The sequence below is a fragment of the Homo sapiens genome, chromosome 4 (genome assembly GCF_000001405.40).
Source record: "Homo sapiens chromosome 4, GRCh38.p14 Primary Assembly".
Lineage (NCBI taxonomy): Eukaryota > Metazoa > Chordata > Mammalia > Primates > Hominidae > Homo > Homo sapiens.
The window spans coordinates 113,131,338-113,156,858 of record NC_000004.12 but is presented as its reverse complement, the minus strand read 5'-3'; the positions used below and the strand labels follow the sequence as shown (position 1 = coordinate 113,156,858).

At 36.9% G+C, this 25,521-nt stretch overlaps 1 protein-coding gene and 1 non-coding gene across 67 annotated transcripts in view, besides 2 other annotated features; both read right to left on the bottom strand.

The window, feature by feature from the left end:
* The window catches only part of ANK2 (ankyrin 2), a 678,115-nt gene that overhangs the window by 226,878 nt on the left and 425,716 nt on the right, over positions 1-25,521 (bottom strand). For 4 of the 66 annotated variants that reach the window (NM_001386147.1, NM_001386160.1, NM_001354261.2 and 1 more), the window contains one exon: positions 5,735-5,779. The exons of 60 other annotated variants lie outside the window; for them this stretch is intronic. In NM_001386147.1, the coding sequence (NP_001373076.1) occupies positions 5,735-5,779 (45 nt within the window). Of the gene's footprint in view, positions 1-5,734; positions 5,780-10,855; positions 11,241-25,521 lie in introns of those variants that run through there. 2 more of the 66 variants (NM_001386174.1, NM_001386175.1) reach the window with 1 other exon arrangement.
* MIR8082 (microRNA 8082) lies at positions 4,497-4,577 on the bottom strand. Its single transcript, NR_107049.1, has one exon. It is a non-coding gene; the product is annotated as a microRNA 8082 (primary transcript).
* Positions 11,099-11,707: an enhancer, noted in NCBI's record as "H3K27ac-H3K4me1 hESC enhancer chr4:114066308-114066916 (GRCh37/hg19 assembly coordinates)". NCBI's record gives its function as "activates a minimal SCP1, AML or CMV promoter by ChIP-STARR-seq in naive H9 embryonic stem cells {active_cell/tissue: H9 hESC(naive)}" and the evidence as "EXISTENCE:reporter gene assay evidence [ECO:0000049][PMID:30033119]".
* Positions 11,132-11,426: a silencer, noted in NCBI's record as "tiled region #8287; K562 Repressive non-DNase unmatched - State 24:Quies". NCBI's record gives its function as "represses a minimal TATA promoter and a strong SV40 promoter by Sharpr-MPRA in K562 cells {active_cell/tissue: K562}" and the evidence as "EXISTENCE:reporter gene assay evidence [ECO:0000049][PMID:27701403]".

Genomic DNA, 25,521 nt, shown 5'->3' with positions numbered 1-25,521 from the left:
ATGATGATTTCATGTTCTACTGTGAAAGTGTGCACGCACACACATACATTTTATATATATAATATATATATATATATAGGACATTTGAAAATGACTATAAAAGAAAACAAAATTACGGTTAGCAACCATAATCCCATTAGTCAAACTTAACACTGCATATTTTGATGTGTTTTCTTCAAGAATTTTTCTACATTAAGGCTGGGTGTTGTGGCTCATGCCTGTAATCCCAGCACTTTGGGAGGTCAAGGAAGACAGATCATTTGAGCTCAGGAGTTCTAGGGCAACATGGTGAAACCCTATCTCTACTAAATATACAGAAAATTATCCAGATGTGGTGGCGTGCACCTGTAGTCCCAGCTACTTGGGAGGCTGAGGCACGAGAATCACTTGAGCCCGGGAGGCGGAGGTTGCAGTGAGTCGTGATCACGTCACTGCACTCCAGCCTGGGCTATGGGAGTGAAACTCTGTCTCAAAAACAAAAAAAAAAGAATTTTTCTACATATACTCTATACGTTTGTGTAGGTAATGCTTTCATGATGTTGAAATAATAATATTCTGTTTTACTTTTAAAAATAAACATTACAAAGTTAGTATAGCCTATACCACACAAAAGTTTAAAAAGGTATTTTATATATCATATAATAGTCTATGGATAGATTATCATTGTTTTTAGCATTTCCCAAACATTTGTACAGAACTGGTGCCTTTAATATTCATTATTTTAAGCAACACTGCCATAAAAACTCTTGTATGTACATCTTTGTCCCTGTCTTGATTGTGTCCATTGTTTAAATTCCTAAAAGTGAATTAACAGTGTCAAAGAATGTAGATTTTTGGCACACACTGTAGGCATTGAAAGTTGCTAACTGAAAAGACATTACAAATGTTTGCCAAAGAGACCACCTCAACACAATCATAAACTCAAATTGCTTTGCTTAGTCGATAAGTAGATCATTGTGGTTTTCATTTGCCTTTTTCGTTTTTGAAGAGTTTGAAAACTTAGTCATATATTTATTGTCTACCACATTTGTTCTTTGATTTGTCTATTCACACTTTTTGTCCTTTTAGAGTTTCAAAAGTATTTTTTAATATTATATAGAAGGATAACATTTTGTCATTGTTTTTGAAAATTTTCTCAAGCTTGTTATAGAAATCAAAAAGTATGAAGTTCCACTTTTAGATTCTTATTCCATTGCTTTTATGCTTTCCAACCCTGAAGTCAATGAAATATTTCTCATTTTCTTATAGATTTATTAATTAAAAATTGTTTCTTTTTTCTTCCATTTAATTTTTTTAATTTCCTAAAACGTATTTTAGTGTGGGTCATAAGTAACAATCTTATTTGAAATTTTCCAAGTCAGTAATTTCTTCCAATTGTGGAAAATCTTAGAACCCACTTTAAATTTCTCCAATGTCTCCTTTTTTAGGTATCTCTTTCTTTAAAGAGCCAGCATTATAAAATGGACTTAGAACTGCCTTTCTAATCCTGGTTCTATCACTTGCCATGAGCTGTGTGACCTTGAGGAAATACCTGAACTCAAAAAAGCCTCAATTTCCTAGTATATAAAATGTATAGAATATGTGGATTGGATTATGTCATATATATAAACCCCTGAGAACAGTGTATTGGAATAGTAGGCATCCAATAAAGGCATATGTTAATACTCGGTTCACAAAGCTAATGTCAGTAGTAAATGAAATGGTATGCAGTATGCCATTACAGAATCTAGCAGATAATAGGGGCTCAATAAATGATAGCTATTATTGATGATAATTAATATGGAATTTGCTATACACATTCATACATTTCTTTTATGTGTTTACTGTCTTTACTTTTTATTTCCTTCTTGTTTTCCACCTCTAAGTTATCTTGTGATCCTGGGTAGAATAGATCTGGTCCCAATGCCAGATGAAGTGGTTAAGACCAAGATGGGCCAGGAAGCAGCCCAGTCCATTAGTTGACAGTGTCTATGGGTAGGTTTTGGCATGTAGCTGTAACTGCCTGGGTTACATTTAAAATAAGAATGGCAGTTGGCATGTCCATCTAGATCACTGCTTAATTCTTTAAAGAATTGATTGGTGGGTACGACAAATCAATACCAAAGGAAAGACTGATTCTTCAATCTATGTATATGTTACAAAACAAGAATAAAGAACATGTAGACTTACAGAATTCATTATTTACTTTCTTGAAAGAAACTTACTGAATAATTAATTCTACAGATTTATATATAATTTTAAAATATAGAGAGTATCTAATATTTGATACACTTCACATTAGTCGATATATTAAGAACTTTTAGTGAGGCCAGAAGAATTTTGTTAATCATCTCTCATGTGCTATGTGACATTTTAAGCAGGAGTGTGGGATTCAGCCAAGATATTGTACTAGCCCTCAATTCCAAGGAAGGATCAGATCATTCAGAACAATCTTGCTGTTCAAGCTGACTGCTCAACAATGGAATGAAATTTTGACTTTTCAAAAATTTGGGGACACATTTTCATAACATTGTCTTATAGTACCTTACTCCTTGGATTTCCAGTGGAAATTGACAAGGTTAAACAATGAATAAAAGGACTCTATATAGGTACACAGTAATTATTAGTTTTTGGAAGTGAAACTTAAATTTATTCTAAGTGTTATGGTTTAAAACTTTATGGTGATACAGCACAGATATTTTCTTACTTTTAAGGTGATGCATATGAAATGCAGAAGGGCCCATTTGCTGGCAGAGTATCCTCCATTCCCACATGTCCCATGTGGTCTCAGCTACTTTAATTGCCTCTAAATAGAATTTTGGCAATACATTGAATTAACCTGGATAAGAAGAAGCTTAATAAAATGTGAAGGGTTTCTTCTACTTTTATGCTCTTATGTGCTGATGTTACATATTCAGCCCTGACTCTTCAGTAAAGTCAGCCTCTTGCAACACAAAGCAGTGGTTATCATACTTAAGTGCACTTAAGGGTTACTTAGAGACTATGCTTAATCTTGTTAAATAAATATTCTTGGCTCTCACCTCTGAGATTTTAACTCAGGAGGTCTGGAGTAAAGCTCAGCCATCTACATCATTTAAAAACACACCAGGCGATTCTTCTGATGTGGTAGTTCACAGAGTACACTTTGGGAGGCGCTGACATAAAGGATTAACTAGACTTTTCATACTGTGTGTTTATTACACAATCCCAAATACAGTTTATCCTATGTCATCATTAATCATCTAGTCTGTCAAAATGTATGCTGTAAGAATGCATAAAAAGCTGAATATCATAAGCCATTTTTTAAAAGAAATGATTATGTATTATAGATGGTATAGACAAATCTGTGAAATATATACCTTACTAATATAAAATTGTTAAATGTCTTTTATTCCTGAAAAATACTCTTTTTCTTTTGTAACTCTGGGGAAAAGTTCATATGTAACAACCAGTGGTTTTCAAAAAGGAAAGATTTTCACAAATTTTTCTATGTACTTCTGTTTTACTAGGTATCTTAGAAGATGCTTTCTAATATCCTTCAGAAAGCCAATAATCTAGAAAGGTATGACACAAAAGTAGCAAATATAAAGGTACTTCAGCTCTAGTTCTAATATATTATTTGTGACTTGTGAGAGATCCAATTTAAGTACACAATGTGTTTATTTAATAGAGTTGCTGTACTAGAATATGGAAATTCCTACAGTATCAAACAGAATCTATGATTTACTTCAAAGCCCCCTTTTGGAACTCATTGATGACTGAGGAAGGTAAAGAGTACAGAAAAAAAAAAAGACTGAAATTTAAATAAACTGTATGTCAGCAACACTTAAACTCATCAAAAACACAGTTTCAATTTATAATCTCTACTATTACACAGCTGGCTTTCACATAGCTTTAAGAAACAATTCATTAGCTCAAAGCCACCATTGAAATTATTATACTTCTGTCAATCATTGTAAGATTTTTACTATTTTTTTTTGAGACAGCATCTTGCCCTGTCACCTAGGCTGGAGTGCAGTGGTACAATCAAGGCTCACTGTACCCTCAATTTCCTGGCCTGAAGAGTTCCTCCCAGCTCAGCCTCCCAAATAGCTGGGTCCACAGGTGCACACCATCAAACTTAAAAAAAAATTAATATAGAGACAGAATCTCCCTGTGTTGCCCAGGTTGATCTCAAACTCCTGGGCACAAGTGATCCTCCTGCCTCAGCCTCCCAAATTGCTGGAATTACACGTATACTTCTTATAAGGAAGTATTAAAGAAAGGCACAAAAAAGTTTTACTATAGTCACATAAGCCCACACAAATATGATATGAAGGTCAGCTTTGAAAAATCAAACACGTAAAATTTTGACAATCAAATGTGATATAATATGCCTAAGATTTCACAGAGAAACCCTTAAATAAAAATAAAGAATTCAGGAAACAAGTCAATCTATCTTGTGGCATAATAAGTTTTGATTAAAGGGGCATAAAATCCAAAACAGCAACTAAAAGTGAGTAAGAGGCACAGCAGATGTCTGTGTGGGAAGGAAGCAAAATACAGCTGAAAAGAGGACTCTCTCCCCAGAGTATTCCCAGCTCCATCATCACACAGGCGACCTTGAAAAAGCCACTATAGGGACAGTGGAACTAATCTTATTAAATATAGCAGAAGAGATATTATTCAAAAGTTATTACATAGTTCAAGTAAATACAAATACTTGGTTTGGATATACCTCATTATAAAAAAAATAAATAGATAATGCTTAACATTACAATGTAATCTTTCTTTCCTTCTTTTTTCTTTTTTTTTTTTTTTCTTTTTTTTTTTTTGAGACAGAGACTTGCTCTGTCACCCAGGCTGGAGTGCAGTGGTGTAATCTTGGCTCACTGCAATCTCCACCTCCTAGGCTCAAGTGATCCTCCCACCTCAGCCCCCCAGTAGCTGGAATTACAGATGTGTGCCAGCACACCTAGTAATTTTTTTTTTTTTTTTTGTAGAGATGGGGTTTCACTATGTTTCCCAGGGGGTCTTGAACTCCTGGGCTTAAGTGATCCTCCCACCTCAGCCTCCCAAAGTGCTGAGATTACAGGTGTGAGCCATGGTGCCCAGCCTACCTTCACCAAATTTCTTTAAAATGTAACCATTGCATTTTATGTACAACTTGATATAGAGAATAACAATTCAAGAAAATGTCTACTACTTTCTATAGTAAATATGTTTTATACATATATTTTATACCAATGCTGTGGTTTCCATATTTGACTCTGCAAACCTCAAGTTGAAATGTGATCCCCAATATTGGAGGCAGAGCCTAATAAAAGGTGTTTAGATCATGAGGGTGGACCCTCATGAATGGCTTAGTGCCATTCTGGTGATAAGGAGTGAGTTTTTGCTGTATTAGTTCCTATGAGAGTTCCCCTGATGGCTGATCATTAACAAGAGCCTGGCACCTCCCCCTGGTTTCTGTACACACCAGCTCTCCTACCCTTTCCTCCGTGAGTGGAAGCTTCCTGAAGCCCTCACCAAAAGCAGATGCTGGTGCAATGCTTCTTGTACAGCTTGCAGAACTGTGATCCAAATAAACCTCTTTTCTTTATAAATTACCCAGCTTCGGGTATTCTTTTGTAGCTACACAAATGAACTACGACAACAAGTAATGTGTGCAATTGCAGTAAGGGTACATTCCTTTTTTGAGCAGAAGGTTATAATTAAAACTTCTTAGTTACCAACGTCTTTACTGTTTTTAGAAGTGTTTTTTTGCTTCCATCACCTTTTCAATGTTGGCGGCCTCTGGTTTCATCTGGGGGCATGTCACCTGTAGTGGGAAAATTCCCATAAATAGATTTGCTACTTTGGGTGATTTCCTAGTCATTAATTCATTCATTTTTTTCACAAATATTTACTAAGTACCTATTAGCTGGTAGGAACTTCAAAGAAAATAGAGCTTATGATATGCAGACTACAACCTAATTGATTCTCCTAAAACAGCCTTTGGTCAATGGCCTTTCACTAGTATATAGTTCAAATTCTAAATCTTGACTTATGAATCTCTTGATAATCTTAGCCTATGTGCCTCATCTAAATTTTGGGGGTTCCACAAATGTCCAGTAGAAATGGTATTATAGCCATTGCTTTCCAGTCTTTCTAATGAGTCCAATACTGAGTGTGTGAACTTCCCATAATGCTTCAGGACTTAACTTTTCTGCCACCCTCTGAGGCTGAGTTGTCATCCTGAAGTACTCTATAATCCCCTGTGCTTTCTCAGGACATGGGAACACAATATTCAAAGTCCTGCTTTGGCCATCCCTGGATTACACTCCTTCAAGCCAAGTTTGCATGTCCTACTCATCTTGGTAGGCCCATGCCTGGCTGAATACATGCTTACTGAAGGCACAAGTGTACTTTCTTCCCAACAGGAACCCAGATTGTATTTTGCTCCCAAGATCTGCTTCAGGCTCCACCTTCTCCACTGGCAGGATGGATATTAAAAATATTTAACAACTAGTTCAGCTCAGGCACCAACCACTCCCAATGGACACTGGCCACAGCACTAGAGGAGGGTGGTCCTGGAAGCCCCTTGAGAGTCCAAGCATTATTCTTTTGTTTGCTTCTTTAGAGGATGGGAGTAGGCTGGGAAATCCTGAGGATGGGGTTCTGCTAGCCTCAGAAGGGGCAGCTTGGTAGGTTCATAGTAACAGCTGCTTAATTAGCCTGTGTGAAAGCAATTCAAACTGTAAACAAGTGGTACAGCTGATCTGCACCATATCAGCTAAGTATTAGCTCTGTCCACGAGGTGTTCCCAGAGCACCGAGGCCTGCACTGATCCCCTCCTTCTTGGGCATCCTATAATGGCTCATTTCAACACTCGTGCAGCCAGTGAATTCTCTACTACCTTTTATAGTTAATTGATTACATGTGGGTAAGCCCTGTTTCTAAAACTGGATTGTAAGTTCCTAGAGAATGAAAGTCATGTCTTCTCTTCTTTCAATCTTTCTTTTTTTTTTTTTTTTTTTTTTTTTTGAGGCAGGGTCTCACTCTCACGCAAGCTGGAGTGCAGTGGTACGATCAAAGTTCACTGCAGCCTCCACCTCCCCAGGCTCAGGTGATCCTCCCACCTCAGCCTCCTGAGTAGCTGGGACCATGGGCGTGTGCCACCACACCCAGCTAATTTTTGTATTTTTTTGTAGAAACAGGGTCCTGCCATGATGCCCAGACTTATTTTGAACTCCTGGGCTCCAGTGATCTGCCTGCCTCGGCCTCCCAAAGTGATGGGATTACAGATGCGAGCCACCATGCCAGGCCTTTATCTTTAAATAAATCATCTAAAAGTTACATAACCATATCTAAATCATTTTGTATTTTTTGAAATGCTTTACCAGAGTAATTTCCATTACACTTTTGGCTCTTGTTAGGGTTAATATCAAAACTAACCATATGAACAAAATTTCCTTATCTTTTATAAAACTTTTACGGAAGACAATACTATACCATTTAAACTAATTTATATTCTTTTAGAGTTCAAAACTGAAGGAAAGTTTAACTCAACTCTTTTGACATACTGATATGCTTCATAGATAAGGAATCATCTCACTCATTCTCTCACACACACACCCCTCTATTTCTTTTATAATCTCCCAAAAATCTTTCAATAAAAACAAAAATACATCCTCAATCTGATTACAATCTCACCTCCATTGTTAACATCCTAATCCAATCCTCCATCCTTGTTCACTTCAGGGCTGCAAACCTTGAAACCAGTTAAACTGGTCTCCCTTCTTTTTCTCTTGCTGCATTCACAACTCATCCTTCACCAAGGAAAGGGAGGGGGAAATGGAGGGAGGAAGAGATGGGGAGAAAGGGAGAGAGATTTTTCTCAAAGCATAAATGAAGTTCTACCATTTCCTGGTGTAGAGCTCTCCAGAGGCTTCCCACTGTGCTTCTAATGAAATCTCAAGTCCTTTTCCAAGACTCAATTATGTTCAGAAAGAAATCAAACTTTTGCCAAGGTAGGCCCATGCTTGCTTCTCATACCTCATTGCCATCCGTCCTCTTCTTTGATCACTACATTTCAGTCATGCTAACCATCCTTCCGTCCCTTGAACGTTCCCAGTACATTTCCCTCTCAGTTAGGCACCATGCTTCCTCATCCCCCCATATAAATGCTGAAAGTCTGTCTCCCGCTATCACAGGAACTCTGTCTTGTCATCGTTAAATCGCCAGCATTCAAAACTATACCTAGCTCAGTGAACATTTGCTGATTGACTTATTACCTTTTGAGTCAGCTAGCAGAAAAGTATTGTTTTCATAATAAGACCAGAATTCATGCTCATGGTCTAAAGTAATAAGAACATTTATAGAATAATGAAAAAGCTCATACGAAAAACCTGAAAATCTCTACTACAATTGGGAAAAATTGTTAAAAATAAATGAAGCAATAAAATAAAAATCTCTGAGAGTAAACTGGTAAAAAAAAGAAGGATGTGATAACTTGAAAATCAGCTAGGGTAGGTAACCTAAAAAATGTCTATATTAAAGCATCGCATCTATGGTTTTGCTCTTGGGACAAAGCAAATTAATTTGTTATGCTAAGGAAACCACAATAGAAATACATGATCTCAATGCAAGAAAAATACAGAGTATACTTAGACCAATATGCAAATTTATAAATGATATCATCACAAAAATACAAGCCAAAAGAAGACCATAAAATAAAGATACATTTTTTATGCTGTTCTAAATAGCACTTTATCAAAACATGGTCAAGAATCCTTCTCTCTGGAGCCTACTTGGACCCTAACAAGGCCTTGCTGACTTGTGTCAGAGCTACCCTAGGATCCAGGGCAAAGTCTGTAAGGCATCTCCAAGAGCTGCTTCTTTCACAAGTGAACTTGGAATACACCCACCAGTCATCTGCATACATGAACATGGAAAAATAATGAGATGACGCAGTTTTCCCCTCTGTGATTAAAAATTTAGAAGCATTACCAGGACTAAATAAAAATTTAAAAACAGCTGAGTTTTGTTCTTCACTCTGTCCTGTCCTGCATGCTTCCTCTTTTTTGGAGCTGCCAAGCCAATTGTGATAAGAGCAGATCTTTGGTCCTTTAAGGATTTACGTAAAAGCCAAGCTCATTTCAGAGGAAAACCCTGACATATGTTTGTGAGTCTTACATTCTCATTTGGAAGACATAAAGTCCAACTTAAACTACCTAGAACCACATATTTTGCTTAAGTCATGCTTGGTATTAAGTTAAACATTAACTTTTTCTTTTTCTCCATGGCCAAAGTGGAAAAATTCTGGGCAGAATATCATTTCTGAAGGTAGAAAACAGGTCCACTTCCACCTCTACCACACCTTTCCAATGTCACACCAATCATGATATGCTCCAGTCTATAAAACCTTTAGCAGAAGATTTTATTAAATGACTAACAGGCTATATTAATTAATTCAGAGAAATGACATTGTACATTTTTAAAAATACACTCATTTTTGTGGTCCTGAACTAGTAGTAATGATACTTTTTGTCCCCTCAGTTCAGAAAGCTGCATTAGAAGTGACTGCTCTGAGAAGTCCAGAGCGGCTCTCCTGGGTGGATGTGGGTAGTGGAAACCATAATCCAGGAGAAACGTTACTGCTCTTGGTTACAAACCTCGCCTGTGCGGTTGTTAACGGTGGGTGATCTCCCTTCCCTGGGACGGCCTCCCTCCCCACCTTTTTTTTTCTTCGTTTTTGACTACGGTGACCTCCATGCTGGAACTACTGTCCTCTTTTTCACGACAGGGCTTTCTGTTCACTGCCAACTGCAAATATTTGCCCTTCATGTTGTTTTTGTTGATAAATTCTTAGTTTTAGTTTTAGTTTCACTATGGTCTGACAGAGTTTCAGTGCTAAGAAATGATGACATTGTTTCAGGTCAGAGTAAAAGCCAAAGAGAGCAGAGCACCACCTCCTATGCTTCAGACCCTGTTCTCACTCCTGGAAATATCAGGCAAGTACATAACAAGTACAAACGCCTCTGCCTCTCTTACTCAGAAATCCTACATATCTTAGTTTCATAGTTGCAGCCAAACCATGCAACCAGCTATTTATTTTCATGCAAATAAATAACTTGCAATAAGGTGGTCAAATTCCTGGATCTGACAGATAAAAGATAAACTTTATTCTCCAGCAAATATGAAAATCCAAATATTTCAGAGATTCCTGGCCAAAAAAAAAAAATCACAATAAGCCTTTGTACCCATTTTAAGGAACACATCATGCCTATGAATTATTAAAATCTGAAGTTTTTAAAAAATAAAATTTTAATAAAGATTTAAAAAAATAAATCTTATTTAATTGCTTAACGTTTAAGCCTTTTTACAAACTATTACTATCATAACAAGAAAAGCATTTAAGGACCTCTTCACTGAAGTTAGTCAAATATTAGAGGGAAATACTGTTTTAGGCTGGAGCTGGGATACTAAGGGAGCATATGCTTAAAAAAATGCTCTGTGACTTAGTGAGAAACGAACTATACATGAATAAATAGGCGAAAGAATTTGACAGACTGAACGTAAGTGAATCTCTGCAATATTGCTGAAAGTCACTCTATAATAATACGTATGTCCACCTTTGGACAAAATTCCAAATTAAAGAGACAGTGTCATTGCTCTTTCCCAAATGTCAGCTCAGAGTTAAAGACAACCGAGAAAAAACAAACATGTGGCATTGCATAACATGAAGAGGAAGCAAAAGCATGCCACTTGATCAGAGGTAGTCAGGTGGTTTGATCACATTGGCTTTATTCTGTCAGCTTCCTTCCAGGAAGTTTAGAGGTCTGACCAATGAGGTCTACTGTTGATTCTTATGCCACCATCCTCCCTTCCTCCTCCTTTGTGGCCTAAAACTTACCCACACTCCAGGTTCTTTGACGTCCTCACTGTTACAGCCATAGTAGTCTGGGGTTTTATCCAGTTCCTGCATGTTTCCTTGTGCTCTTATGCTCTTATCCGCATGGCAAGAAGAGCAGAGGGCTGCATTCCCCATCTCAGCTCTACAGTTCCTGCTGTCAGTGGGCCCGTCCTTGCCCTCTGCACTCTGTCCAGGGCTCCCAGGGGTACACTAATGTGGGCAATTCATCAAGATGATCCTTGGCTCCTCTGCTCAGTTCCCTTCCACGCCCCTCACCAGTTCTCCCCATCTGCTAGCTGGCTTGCTGGTGTCAGAGAGAACTCAAAACCCCCGGCAACTGCAGGCTGCATTCAGTGACCATTTCCAGTGCAGGCGCTGCCAGTCTATTTTTACACCTACCAGGCCAGCTATGCATGTCAATGGAGTGAGGGGGGTGAGGCAGACAGAGAGCAGGGGAGGGGGCGGTGTTGTTTTGTTTTTCACCATGCAAGCAGCCTGCCTCACACATGGACTTAAGTTCCTGCTGGGTAAAATGTCTCTACATATGAGAATTTTTGCATTACTCAATGAATGCCTTTGAATCTTTCTATTTCCCTCTTCTCTGTCTCTTATTCACACAATACTAAATATTTTAATGAATCTGCTTTATCAGCAAAACAGATAAAAATTATTTTTGTAATTGCTTCCACCAAGTGGAAACTACTTGGTTTATGTATACTCTTTCTCATTATTGTTACAGAAAACAATTAGCCATCCTTTTACCGTTCTTTTAACATGTAATATTCAATGGAAACACATCCATCAAATGGCTCACCTGACACTGGTATAGAAGTTTTGGTTTTTATAATTGTGTAGTTTGTCATTATTCATGATTGTGCCACATGAGAGCAAACATGTTGATTCATTTATAATTCGTTTTAATTTTTAGTATTTTGAAAATGTTTTCCCCAGCTTTACAAACAATAATCAAGATGGCTTTCAACACCATCCAATCTTTGAAATCATATTACAGGTTTTTGAAAGAAATTGTTTCCCACTGAGATGAGCATAGCAAATATACATTAGATATGCTGTATGAAGCTAATTATGATCAAATCAAAGCTTTGTGAGGGACTAATATGGATTAAGCTTTATTCCTCCATTAGGGTTTCCTCTAAAACTATATATATATATATTTATAACTATATATTTATATATAAATTTTTATATATTATATAGTTTAAGTAGTATATAGTTTAAAAACCATATAAAATATATTAATATAAATATTATTATATATAATTATTTGAATATTAGTCCTATCCTTCCTCATTTGTTATTTGCATGTACATACAGCTTATTTTGCAAATCATTTTAAACTACTCAATGCAGGGTCCAGACTTAGATTTTATATTATCCATCCACATGCTATAAATTAAATATTAAATGTCTAAAAAAAGTATTGAATTGGAAGCAATTATTTGGGGAAAACAGGATGTGGAAGATATTTAGAAACTAACCATATTACATTTGATAGACTAGAATTTTCCTTTCCAATATGTCATTTTTTTTTAAAGCTAAAAACCATTTGCCATTATTTTTTTTAAAAAAATTAAAAATAACATTCCTGAAATACCTTTCTCAGATTTGAGTTCACAAATCCCTAAACACTCAAATCCAAGAGGGACATTTTTGTATTGTTGCTTTCCACAGGGCCCCACGCTGCTTTTTTGTCAATCTGGTTTTGAATAACTCTTCATTCCAGCGTTTATGAGCCTCAAGTATCTTGCTTATTATAAAGTTCCTATCCTTACAATCCAGTTTCTGAGAGGCATTGCCAGTATTCAGTGAAATTACTTTAACTTCCCAGCTATAGGTGAAGGCATCTCTTAAAATCATGTTTTACAAATTACTGACTGAACCAAAAATATTATGACAACAATGGAAGGGGGCTCATTTCTCCATTCATGTTAAAAGGAACATGAAATCTAAACCTTTTAAATGTTAAAGTTTTAAGTGAAAGCATTCAGAAAGATGATGCTTCAAAATCAGTGACAAGATTAGACTGTTGGCTGGGATACATCAAGCAAAGCCTTTCATGTTTCCTGAATAATTTTATATAGACTAACGATTCATCATAATATGGTAGTTTCTCATCAAATTTTCCACATATTTGAACCATGTTCTGTAGTATTTAAGTAGGCTATGATGTTTAATGGTGTACTTATAAATTCTTTTACTAAGATGTGGTTTTAACTTTTTTGTCTCCTTCTATAAGGTTCTTAGAACTTGGAGAAGGTCTGTGGTCCACAAAGTCTTATAATACGTGCTTCTTCTTGAACATATATGAACTATTTTATTCAGAATATAAACCCAAAACAAAGAATGCCAACCAAGATTTTTCCAGCTATTGAAAGAGATGCACTCCCCCACGCACACTTTTGGAATTAGTGTACTATTTTAAAAACATTCAATAGAATCTTCAAAATAGAATTATGTCCACTTAAAACACTGGTTGTAAACCTTAAAAATTATCTCTAGCCTCCTCACTTCATTCTGGAGCTGAGGTCTGAAACTCTGTACTTACACATGGAAAAGGAATATTTAACCACAGCAGATTCAGGAGATGCCCCTAGGTGCTAGATGAATAATTTTGCTGTGCTTTAACAGCTCGAATTGTTTCCTGGCATCTTTCTGTCTCATTAATACAATACCCATTCCACCGCCATGCCTTTAATTTTAAAGCTTTCCTTTCTCTTGCAAGTCTTCATTACACCTGTGATATTAGTCCCTTATTTTGTGTTAATATCTTTTTGAATAAGGTTGTGACTACTATCAGCTCTCGCTCTTTACAAGATATACCTGTTTTCTCTGACCAATGTCCTCCCATACCTAAATATGCACACTAGTATTACATGTTTGTGAGGTAAATGAATAAAAGACAACCACAGATAGGGACGCAATTCATAATATCAATATTTAACTGGACTACACTGACCTAAACGTCTTTTTTTTTTGCAGATTAACAGAAACAGATTTAATAATTTTAAACATATTTAAGTGTGACAAATATTTAATTTCTTTTCCAGATTTTCAATAAACCTCCCTTTTGGCCTTTGAAAAAAAGGTTAACACCATTTGGGGTAAATTTTCCTAGAAAAGAAATTACAGTGCTTTGTTAAGAACGAAAAAACCACTGAGAGTATGAACCAACCAAGTAACATGCTGACAACTGTTGGAATACACTTTCCCTAAATAACTAGTTATTTGTTTTCTTCTACCCCCCTCTTTCTTTTTCTTCATCTCGGGGAAATCATCTCATGCTTTCTCCAATAAAGAAACTTTCTGCTTGGTGAATATAATATCCATACTCCTATGATTAGCACTGTCCCAAATATGCCATGTAGTGATCCCTGAACCCCACTGCTAAAGCTTAGTGTCCAAACAGGGACAGGCCAAGGAAAGACAAATGCAAACACCTGGTGCTACTGTGATGGCTGAAATTTCCTATTTTCTGGCTGAACAGATTTAAATTACCAACCTGGAACCTGGAAAACATCATAGCTGTGAAAACAGAATTTCCTATGAGCAGCTGCCTATGTGTGATCACTTCAAACTTTGCCGACGATCAGATACTTTCTAATAAAAAATAAAAGTGTAAGGGGTCTGTAGAAGAGGACCTTATTTCAGAAGTTAAAACGTTTCTAGTTCTATCTTCCAGTGGTTAACCAAGGGTGGCTGCCAGACAGGTCTGGCACAGAAGCTTGGGTGATGTGACAACCTATATACATAACATTTTGTCAAACTGAAGGAAAGCTTAGCAAATACAATGCAGCACCATCCTTTAATAATCTGCCAGTAGACAGTCGGGATCTCTGTGGACATCTGACAAGGAATATGCTTTCTGCCAGGGCAGAACAATGTCACCACTGTTTTTCAAAAATGCTTCAAAGTCATTAGGGCAAATTACTCAGAAAGCAAATATTTGCATGTTTGACCACACTTAGAGCAGGGTACTTGAATTTGATACATGACTTAGAAAGTGAAATTCAAAGCCTCCATGACGTGACATATTTGCAATATCTTCTTAAATTCCCAGGCCCTTTTACTGTTATTATTTCATTTGTATTGCTGTGTTTCAAATCCATCATAAGAGAAAAGCGATTAAGGACTGAGAACAAAGGCTAGCCTCTCAGCTTTAATCTTCTGAAAGTTGCTGCTGAAGTCCCTATGACAGCAAATCTAAAAATCATTCACTGCAGTTTTAAATTTCACCTTTTAAATAAGAAATCATGATTACAGAACCATCAGGAAACTAACACCTTGGAGAAGAAATAACTGTCTCAGTTCTATAATTTAACCTAAAGGGATAGATCACAACTCCTGAAGTGAAGTTTTGAGAAGACCTCTTAGTTAGGATTTACTAATCCCAGGTTTTGATCCCACTATGAATTTCTCTGTGTGGACTTTTGTAACCTTTATCAAATCTGAGCTTCTATTTTCCTGTTTTTTAAAAAAGAAAATTAGATTCGATGGTTGTTGGATCCCTTCCAGCTCTGAAGTTTTTCACTTCTATGACACAGAATATGTAACATTTGAACACACACCTAACACAAGGCCATAGTTGAAGGTGATCACCTATTTAGTCCATTTGCATGGGGAAAAAAAGGATAGGAATCACATGGTTTCTCACTCTCTGGGCTGGCTTTGCTCAGTAGTGTTTCCCTGACAGACTCACAGGGAGGATGAAAACACCACTGTGGCATATGACAGACTCTTTGTTAATATCCAGGAGCTCTTTTTCAAGGTGAGGACCATTTCACTCTTATTCCACCTTTGCTGAGTATTAGCCTCACTTACACCCTGCCACATCTTTTACATGTCACAATTGTAAACTAACTGTCGCCTGGAAACATTCTTACTCTCCCAAACTGGCTTTGCAGGACAGCTTTATAGGACTTTGTAAGACAAGTCTTTGCAAATCAACTGTGTAAGCTAGTTTTATTTTCCTTCAAATGTTTCGATTAATTTATGCTTTTTTTTTTTTAAACGGAGTTTCACTCTTGTCGCCCAGGCTGGAGTGCAATGGCGCAACCTTGGCTCATTGCAACCTCCGCCTCCTGGGTTCAAGTGATTCTCCTGCCTCAGCCTCCCAAGTAGCAAGGACTGCAGGCGTGCACCACCACGCCTGGCTAATTTTGTGTTTTTAGTAGAGACAGGGTTTCACCATGTTGGTTAGGCTGGTCTTGAACTCCTGACCTCAAGTGATACACCTGCCTCGGCCTCCCAAAGTGCTAGGGTTACAAGTGTGAGCCACTGGGCCCGGCCGATTAATTTATTCTTAAAGGGCTAGTGCTATCATATTAAAAAGACTGAAAAAAAAATTGCCATGAGTCTTTAAAGTGGCAAATCAGAATGTTTCACTCAGAGTCATTGAATTAAATTTTTTTCTCTCCTCCAAGATCCAAGGATTATTCAAGAACATCACACAAATTTAAAAAGGTCATGTAGAGTTTCTCTTAAACTAAACTATCATGTGCAAAAAAACTATCCTAACGTGATATTTAGTCAATACTTTATATTTTTCAGATCATCATTAATATGTAAGATCTATGTTACCTTTGCTGAATTTAGAAATCTGCTTCGATTACTGTCTGCCCTTCTCCTTGTTTTTGATCATGGCAGCTATAATTCAAGACCGATTGTTTCACTCAAATGCGTTTATCTAATTAAATTAATCTTTGGTTATCCCTATTGCATGCAGAATTCTCGATGCCGACATAGTCACATGAATCCAAGGACAAGTTCTCCTGTCTTTGGGAATTACTGACCTGTGGAAAGAAAATTGGAACATTCTGTGCAATAAGCAAGGCAGCATGCTATTTTCTTCCGTGTTTGGGTACATTCAATACAATTTATTTGACTAAAAGTTAAACACATCATGATTTTTACAAATTGGCCCTGTTTATAACTGATCAATCAGGGAAACTGTTGCATAACTTATGGATCTACACTAAATTCCCTATATGGACTTGTGGCATAATTTTTCTAATTGAGGTCAATATAAATGACTTTTACTGTTTATGCTTTACACAGATTAATCAAAATGAATATTGCCAAGCTATTCATGTGCCCACAAACATCAATTAACCAATTTAATTTTACATTCCTTCCAGCTATTATTTTCATTCCACACTGCTGCCTCTTGACTTCTGGTACATAAAGGACAACATTCTTTAATAAACAGTGCTAACAGCTTGCATAGCTTTCCGAAGGCTACTCCACGCAATGCCCAACACAAAGTGGGCACTCAATAAATGTCGCTGACTGACATTAAAGAGACTATGAGGACAGAAGTGTAGGGTGGCCAAAGCAAGCCTAAAGGGCCATTTGACTAATTCTATGTTCTATCACATCGGACTGGATTTTGAAATGCAATGTGAATAAAACAATTTAGTCACTGTGCACTCCTACTTATTTTGAAGACAAATATGTGTGTACAGAATCCCCCCAAACTGATGAACTACTAAAGCAGGGGCTTCCCCACAGCTTTTTTGAAGAGAGGGTCAAGTGATTAAAATAAAAAAGCAAGATGGGGGCTTCATTATAATCTGGCTGTAATAGCTATTTTTTGAAGCCTAAGCCAGAGTATAATTTATAAACACTTGTAGTAAGTTTCCATCTGGCAACCAGCTGATCGAGATAATCTGAAAAGTACTCAGTTAAGGTGATTTTAAAATAAATGATGCATAGCATGAGAATAGATCAGTTAATGGGCAAAGTTTGGTGCCCACAGGAACAACAATCTTAGAAGAGGTGTGACTGTTCATGGTAGGCTGGAGAGAAAGCTGCCTGGCTAGGTTCTATATGTTGCACGCCATGGTTGTCCAGACCTATCTATCTATCAAAGAGGACTCACATGCCATGGTAGTTAGACACACTGCTTGAGCATCTAGACAAGAAAAATGGGAGTATTGTACTAATGATCATTTATAATCAACCTCCCCAAATAATGTCTTACTATTAAGCAAATTCAAAGTTCACAAAGATCCAGTGAACTATTCATGACTAAGGGTAGAAAATAAATATTCATTTATCCTTTCCTACTACTTATTTCTATTAGCATTTGGCCAGTGTTTTCCTTTGAAAGTTCACAGGCATTAAGCTACATATATTTATATGTTCAGTTTGTATACTCACCCTAGAGGTTCTAGAGAAATAACAACCCTTCATAAACTTTTTTGGGCTTCAACACATGGATTTAAATGTTTTGATACATTTGTCATTACCAAAAGATTTCTTCAACTGTAACACAGAGCTCAGTTCTGTGTAATCCTATACTCAAATATTTTAATCTATTGATTTCAAAATATTTTAAAATCCTACTTTCCCTACAAAATACACACATATGACATTTGAAATTAAGCAAGAGACATAGACATTGAAAATACACTTCCAGGCAGCAGCCAGGCATTCATCAGTCAATAACAAACCTAAGTTCAAACTAAATATCTGATGCTGGTTCAACTAGAGCATATATGAGTATTTATTTTAGAATTACCAATTAAACCTGATTTATTATGAGGATAACTGATTTTCTTGTACTGTGTTGAAACACAGAATCAACTAGGCTCTTCCAGTTGTGTTGCACCGACATCAGAGAGTTACTGTAAAATATGGTATTATGATTACTTTAAACAGCATGATGAGTGTGCATTTAGTCAAGAACAGTTGCACTACAATTATGGAATGATACATAGACTAAATTCATTTTATTTCAAAGACGGAAAACTTAGAGCTCCAAAAAGAACTTGAATTTCATTGTCCAACTTCATTCACTTGGGTTTTATTTCAGGATCTCTTTAGAGTAAATGTATCTATACACTTCAAGGTATAAAGAATTATTTATGATCCTTCATATATTATTCATACTGAAATAAATACCCTGAATATGTATCATTTGTTCTCTCTGGAAAATGGGAGAATTATTTTCAAGTTTTCAATCTTGCCCTACTTTTGTTTGGAAAACAAAATCACTTTATAAGCAATCAAAAACTCCAGAAATACAGTCATAAATATATTAGAAAGTCAATGCTGTTATTTCATTCTTCGAAAATTATGTTAATGTGGTCTTATGTCCTCTAAGCTCCATTGCTATTAGCTACATGCTGCTAGAAATAAATTCTAGATGGACACTATCAGCTGTCATTTTGAACTTTGGTGCTGTCATCTGTATAATGATAAGCTATAGTAAATACACTCATGCTGATGTTTATATGTGTTTAATCTTTACAGTCAGAAGTTTATAAATCACACTTAGGTCCACATAAAATTAATCTTCTCTACCAGAAGATAAGAAAGGAAGGAAGAAGGAAGAAGGAAAGAGGAAGAAGAAAGGAATATAAATATGATTTAAAATGCAGATATATCTCTAAAAATTAAGGGTTTTCTTCTTTAAGAGCAATTATTAAGTAATATTTTTAAGAAAAAATGTTTTCCTTTTCTACCAGTTCCTTAGTATTTAAACATGCTCAGTGCTTTCCTAAGCCAATGCCCTACTCAAACCTGCTCCTGGCCCAGTCTTCTCTGGCTCAGTGACCAGCAGCCCTATACACCTTGCTGCCCAAGCTGACAATCTTGAAGTGTTTGACATTACCTTTCCCATACATCCAGTCCTGCAGAGTCTACTTTTTTCCATCCCTTTGCCACTATTTTAGGTCAGTGATTTATTTCTTGACTGAATTACTGTAACTGTCTCCTAAAGAGTTTACTGGTTCTAGCTTTGCTCTGTTTCAATCCATTTGTCATGCGCCTTAGCCAAGGAGATCTTTCCAAAGCTCAGACCTATTCAAGGAACTCCCTATAATCTTCAAGATAAAAGCGAAAATCTAGGTCGGGCGCAGTGGCTCACACATGTAATCCCAGCACTTTGGGGGGCCAAGGTGGGTGGATCACCTGAGGTCAGGAGTTTGAGACCAGCCTGGCCAGCCTGTAATCTCAGCACTTTGAGAGGCCAAGGCGGGTGGATCACTTGAGGTCAGGAGTTTGAGACCAGCTTGGCCAGCATGGTGAAACCTCGTCTCTACTAAAAATACAAAAATTAGCTAGGCCTGGTGGCACGCACCTGTAATTCCAGCTACTCAAGAGGCTGAGGCAGGAGAATCCACTTGAACCCGGGAGGCGGAGGTTGCAGTAAGCCGAGATTGTACTGCTGCACTCCAGCCTGGGTGACAGAATGAAACTGTCTCAAAAAAAAAAAAAAAGCCAAAATCCTTAATAATGTGGTATGGACTCCTATCTGAGCTGATCTTTCTTTCCCCAGTTTTTGCTTTTTGTTTATTTGTTTGTTTTGAGACAGGGTCTGGCTCTGCCACCCAAGCTGGAGTGCAGTGGCGCTCATTGCAACCTCCACCTCCCCCGGCTCAAGCGATTCTACCACCTCAGCCTCCCAAGTAGCTGGGATTACAAGCATGCACCACCACACCTGGCTAATTTTTGTATTTTTGGTAGAGACAGGGTTTCGCCATGTTGCCCAGGATGGTCTCAAACTCCTGGACTCAAGCATTCCTCCCAAGTGCTGGGATTACAGGTGCGAACCACCATTCCTAGCGTATTCCAGTTTTCATAATCTCATCTTTGCATTCTCTCCCTTGAAATTTCCTCTGGACTTTTATTAATAACTATTCCCCTGGATCACCTCCCTCCCTCTCAGCATCTGCAAGACTCCTCTTGGAAGCCCTGCCTGGCCAACAAGATTAGGAGCCTGCTGTGGACACAGAGCCATCAGGATGATTGTTACCCTGTATTTTAATTGTCTTTTTATGAACAGACACTGTATTTTATTTGTCTGTTTGTCCCTAGTACTCCTGATAGTGCCCCTATATAGCAGGCACTCATAATTGATTACTGACTAAATGAGCAATAAAAAAAACTTCCTTCACATACTTAAAATATGAGTGGTTTATGCAAACATTTATTTCATTCTTCTCACAAATATTCATTCAGCACTATACGCAGGCCCAAACACAACATTTAAATAAAAAGAGACAAATGCATATTATTACTGATGTACTCACAGAAATGCTTTAATGAATCTCCGAGAATAGCAATCTGCAGTCATTTATCCAATTACCATTAAAAATGATTTTGTTTTGGTCACATTACTATTCTGTCAGTTCTTGTATAATTATATTTTCAGATGTTTGATTTTGGTCCAGGCACCAAATCTGTTGGTGGCCATCTGAACATGAGGAGGAATGAAAAGAACAAAAATGCCAATGGCCACAAAAGCATCAGTAGCCATGAACCACAAGATGGTTCATGAGGTAAGAGTAAGACTGTTGATCACATCATGGATATTTCAGGATATCCATCAGTGTCACTATAAACATATGGAGAGTAATCATTGCTAATGTCAGGGAAATATAATTATTGTTCTCTAGAGGTCCAGAAGGATTACTCTTATCATAAATGTCTACACACACACACACACACACACACAGAGAGACACACACAGCTCTATGGTTTGGCCATCATTTGCCTCTACGGTATTACATGTAGTGAAAAGCTCCTTTCATTCCACTCTTTCCACCTGTAGAGCTTCTCTGCATTCTTTCATTATTGGTTCCCCTTTTCCAGTGATGGATCCATCACTAGATCCCTGCCTGACCGTGATATCTAATCCTCCTTACAGCTGTCACCTCTGTGTGGCCATCACTTTACTTTAATTACCTTTAATCTATGACACTCACTTGCTGCTCCTCTCTCCACAGTTTTTCTTTATTTTTCATAGGTATCTTTACTTCTAACATGTCTTACCTTCAAAGCAAATGCTAACCTTTTAGAGACAACAGCCACCAATAATATGGCATCTTGTAAATGCAAAAACACCCCACAGTTATCAGCCTACAATAAATACTCACAGAAAGATGTGCATTTTCTACTTGTGTTCATGACCAACAACCCATTCAAATACCCAGGTGGAGCTCTCCATTCTTTGCCACTGTGAAACATCAGTAATTCAGATATATGCTAACTGTAGTAATTGTGCATCCTGAAGAAATGGACACCATAAAACTTTAGTCATGCCACTTCTAATGTCTAAAATTAGAATTTCCAATTTTTAAGTTTCTATGGTCATAAAATTGATCTGACTTCATATTTTGATAACTTAAACTACATGGCAAAGTTCTAATCTGATTTTGTCAAGTTTTACTAAATACAAAGGTCATATAATATTTAGTAGACCAAGAAGTATGTCATGACAGTTTAATTTTGTCCTAAATTCTTCCTAAAAAAAGAATTATCAATAAAAGAGACTATGGCTTTCATTAACCACTGACATTTTAAAATGTCAATTTTACTGAAATATGCCTTTTCTATTTTAATAACATTTGATTTTAGCTGACCTGGAGATCAAGTGTTAAAAAAACATCTCTGATAAGGTAGAAGGTAGTTTTTTTGTCCTTGCTCTGGAACAAGGAGAACATAGTTCAGTTTATTATTATTCCATACTAAGATAAGGGGGGATCAATTTTCCTATGGTATAAAGATGTCTTCCAGATCCTTGGCCTCATTGTTCAGCAGAGCACAAGAGGCATTCAGAGATCTCTATGCACTCCCCAACTTTTCGTATTTGTTGTGAGTAATACCTCAGTAGCCCTCCTTTTTCATTTTACTTTGAATTTTGTCCTTGGGTTCTCTCTGTGGTTGCAGTGAGAAAAAAAAAAAAAAAAAAAAAAAAGACAACTTTCAGGAAATTTTAGAGCTACTTCCATTGCAGTTTAATAAACTAACTCCAAACTAGCCAGTCATATGATACTTTGGGCCAGAACCTACCTCACCTCTCTTCTACTCTAACAAGAGATTCCTGTTGATGACATCCAAGACTTAGAAATCGGCCTTGATGCTATTTTGATCATTGGAGGTGCTAGTAGTATAGATGGTTTCAGCACTTGATAACTCTAGCTCTTCTGTCCTTCTTCCTGTAATCTTATTATTAGGGACCTTGCTGTAGTGTAAATCACATCATAATTCTTCAGAGACTCCCCCTGCTATTTTGTTTGTCTGTTCCTTGAAAGGTTAGAAATATTTTTGTGTAACTTGGTGATATATATTTTTCATCCCAGCTACTCTTCTTTATAGCATTATAAGGTCAGTTGGAGAAGCACAGATTCAAGTCATCTGGGGTCTTACCTCTTCCTTCCTTCTTAAACCTCACTTTTTCCATTGGACAAAAGGGAGTTATAATCATTTCTACCTCATGGTGTTGCTGAAAAGATTAAATAAGTCAGTGCATCTTAAGTACTTAGGACAGTGTCCAGTATATAGCATTGCACAGCAAGCTAACTATGATTATTTTTCCTCAACTCCATTATTTTTTTCTCTTTTTGAATCAGATGGGTCTAAGGTTTGTTTATTATCTGCCCTAAAATTTAAGTTAAAAATACTACAAATCAGACATTACGTGGTAGTATAGCATGGTTTAGCGAAAAGGCATGGGATTTGGAATCTGGCATCTGGGGTCTGTCACTTAAGGTATTTATTTGCCATGAAATTTGAGGGGAAAATCTTTTTCAAGCAAAATATTCAAGCATAATTTTCTTCCCCTAAAAAATGAGATTTAGAATATCTACCCCATTGTGAGAATTAAATAATATAATAAACAATTGTAAAAAGTCGAGTATAGAGTCTACATGCTCTCATTCTTCTCTGGATCAGTTTCTCATGCCTGGGACCCTTGATACATCTCACCTGCTGTCTCCATTCACCTTTAATTTCAGAATAAAAGGTCAAACTTTTTTCGACTTCCATCTAATGTTGACTCATAATGAAGTCATCTTCAGAAAACTAAGTGTTCCTGCTCTCCTATCTTACCATTTAGGAACAAGTCCTTATACTTTCAACTATATCTAGAAACAACCAATAATTACGTTGCCCTCAAAATATAACTCCATTTTTCTCTTGCTGGTGTCAGTGAAGAGAATTAACTCTTACTTCTGAATTTGGCCTGGATGACCAAAACTCTAGTGCATCCTTCCAGCTGGAGGGCTGCCATGAAGAGGTTTGTAAGTATAATAATAGTACAGCTCCGAAGGTAGAATCATCACAACATTTTTCTTTCCCAATACTGAAGCTTTGTCCCATAATCAATATCAGCAGGTAGTATCATGATGGCCAAGAACAAATGATCAGCCCCTTTTTCCTTGATTCCCAAGTATAGATGGCTGCTGGAATTCCCCATTGCTGTATCCCCCTGCTGGAGTGAGAACCCCAATGTTGACTATTTCCTACATTGTGGATGAAGCAACTATGTGATATCATGCCTGGATACCCTGTAGGACCCAGTATGATCTACTCTAGATCAGTTCTCTTCACCCCACCCACAGATCTAATGTCAGATCCCAAATGTTCCTGTCAGAGCCATCTATCTCATGGGCTCCGTCTGGCTGAGAAGCTACCATCATGCCACGGGGTCCAGTTCCAGGGTACAAAGTAGTTCTGTGGAATGATTCTATACCTTAAATTTCAGTACTTTTTAATCTAAAAAATTTCCTATCAATTTCACATACTTATTAAAAGGATCTATCCCTTAGTCAAATTTTATTCAAATGATCATTCCCTTAAGTACATTTGAAGTATGTACTATAGTAAAACTGCAATACTGTAACTTCAATATGTTGAAAACTCCAGGAGAAAAAAGTGAAGGGAGAGACATTATTAAAACATATAAAAACGGAAATGCATTTTGATAAATACATCTATATAGAATACAGATAAATATGTCCACATATATACATATGTGCATATACATCATATCATAACAATTCCAAGGATGAGTATTCTCAAATAATCTACTCCAAAATGAGCTAATTAGAAAAAATAAACCTCTAATCAAGTGGCATTACACCATATGGTCTGATACTTGTGACATCTCTGAATAGTTTTCTATTTTTTCTTTTATATGGTAAAAAATATTTTCCTAGTTGACTTTATGACTCTGTTCAGTCAAACTCTTGACCTATCCAGTCTACGGCATTAAATGATAATTCAGCTCAAAGAGGAAAGGGGAAAAAGAAGAAAAAAGCCTTTGAGCCCTTAATCCTTTTGTCTATACATTTCACTCTTATATCTTGCCCGGATGTGTTTTTATCCCTGAATCTTCTATGAAAATGCATGTGGTTTCACACAGAGAAAAACTGCTTCTTTAGGATATGTGGAATCACAAAGATCCTATTTAAATCTACTGTGCTTTAGTGTGCAGGAATGTTAGGGGGCTTTAAACTCAGTTACAATATACTGCTTGTTGCAACACAATTGTGCCTTTGGTGTTCTGTTTCACAGGTTTGTCTCCACTTAGGAGTGTATAAAGTACTTTGACATGCCACAATCACTTAGACCAGTTTTTAAAAGTCTAAATGAGCTTCACACTTCTACTTCTTGTTTTAATTTTGCATTCCAATGATGTGCAGGCTTTTTAGCAGCTTTCAAACAAGAGAAACCTACAGCCATCAGGGATCAAATGTTTTATAAGTCATTGGAACACTGATATGTCTAACAAGGAGTAGACCCTAAATTTCAGTAATGCAGCCTATTCCCAGACAATTCAGATGCCTGGGTCACTGGTGTGTACAGTTTTCTCATTGCAGGAGCATTGCATTCATCAAAGTCAAACTGAAAGAGAACAA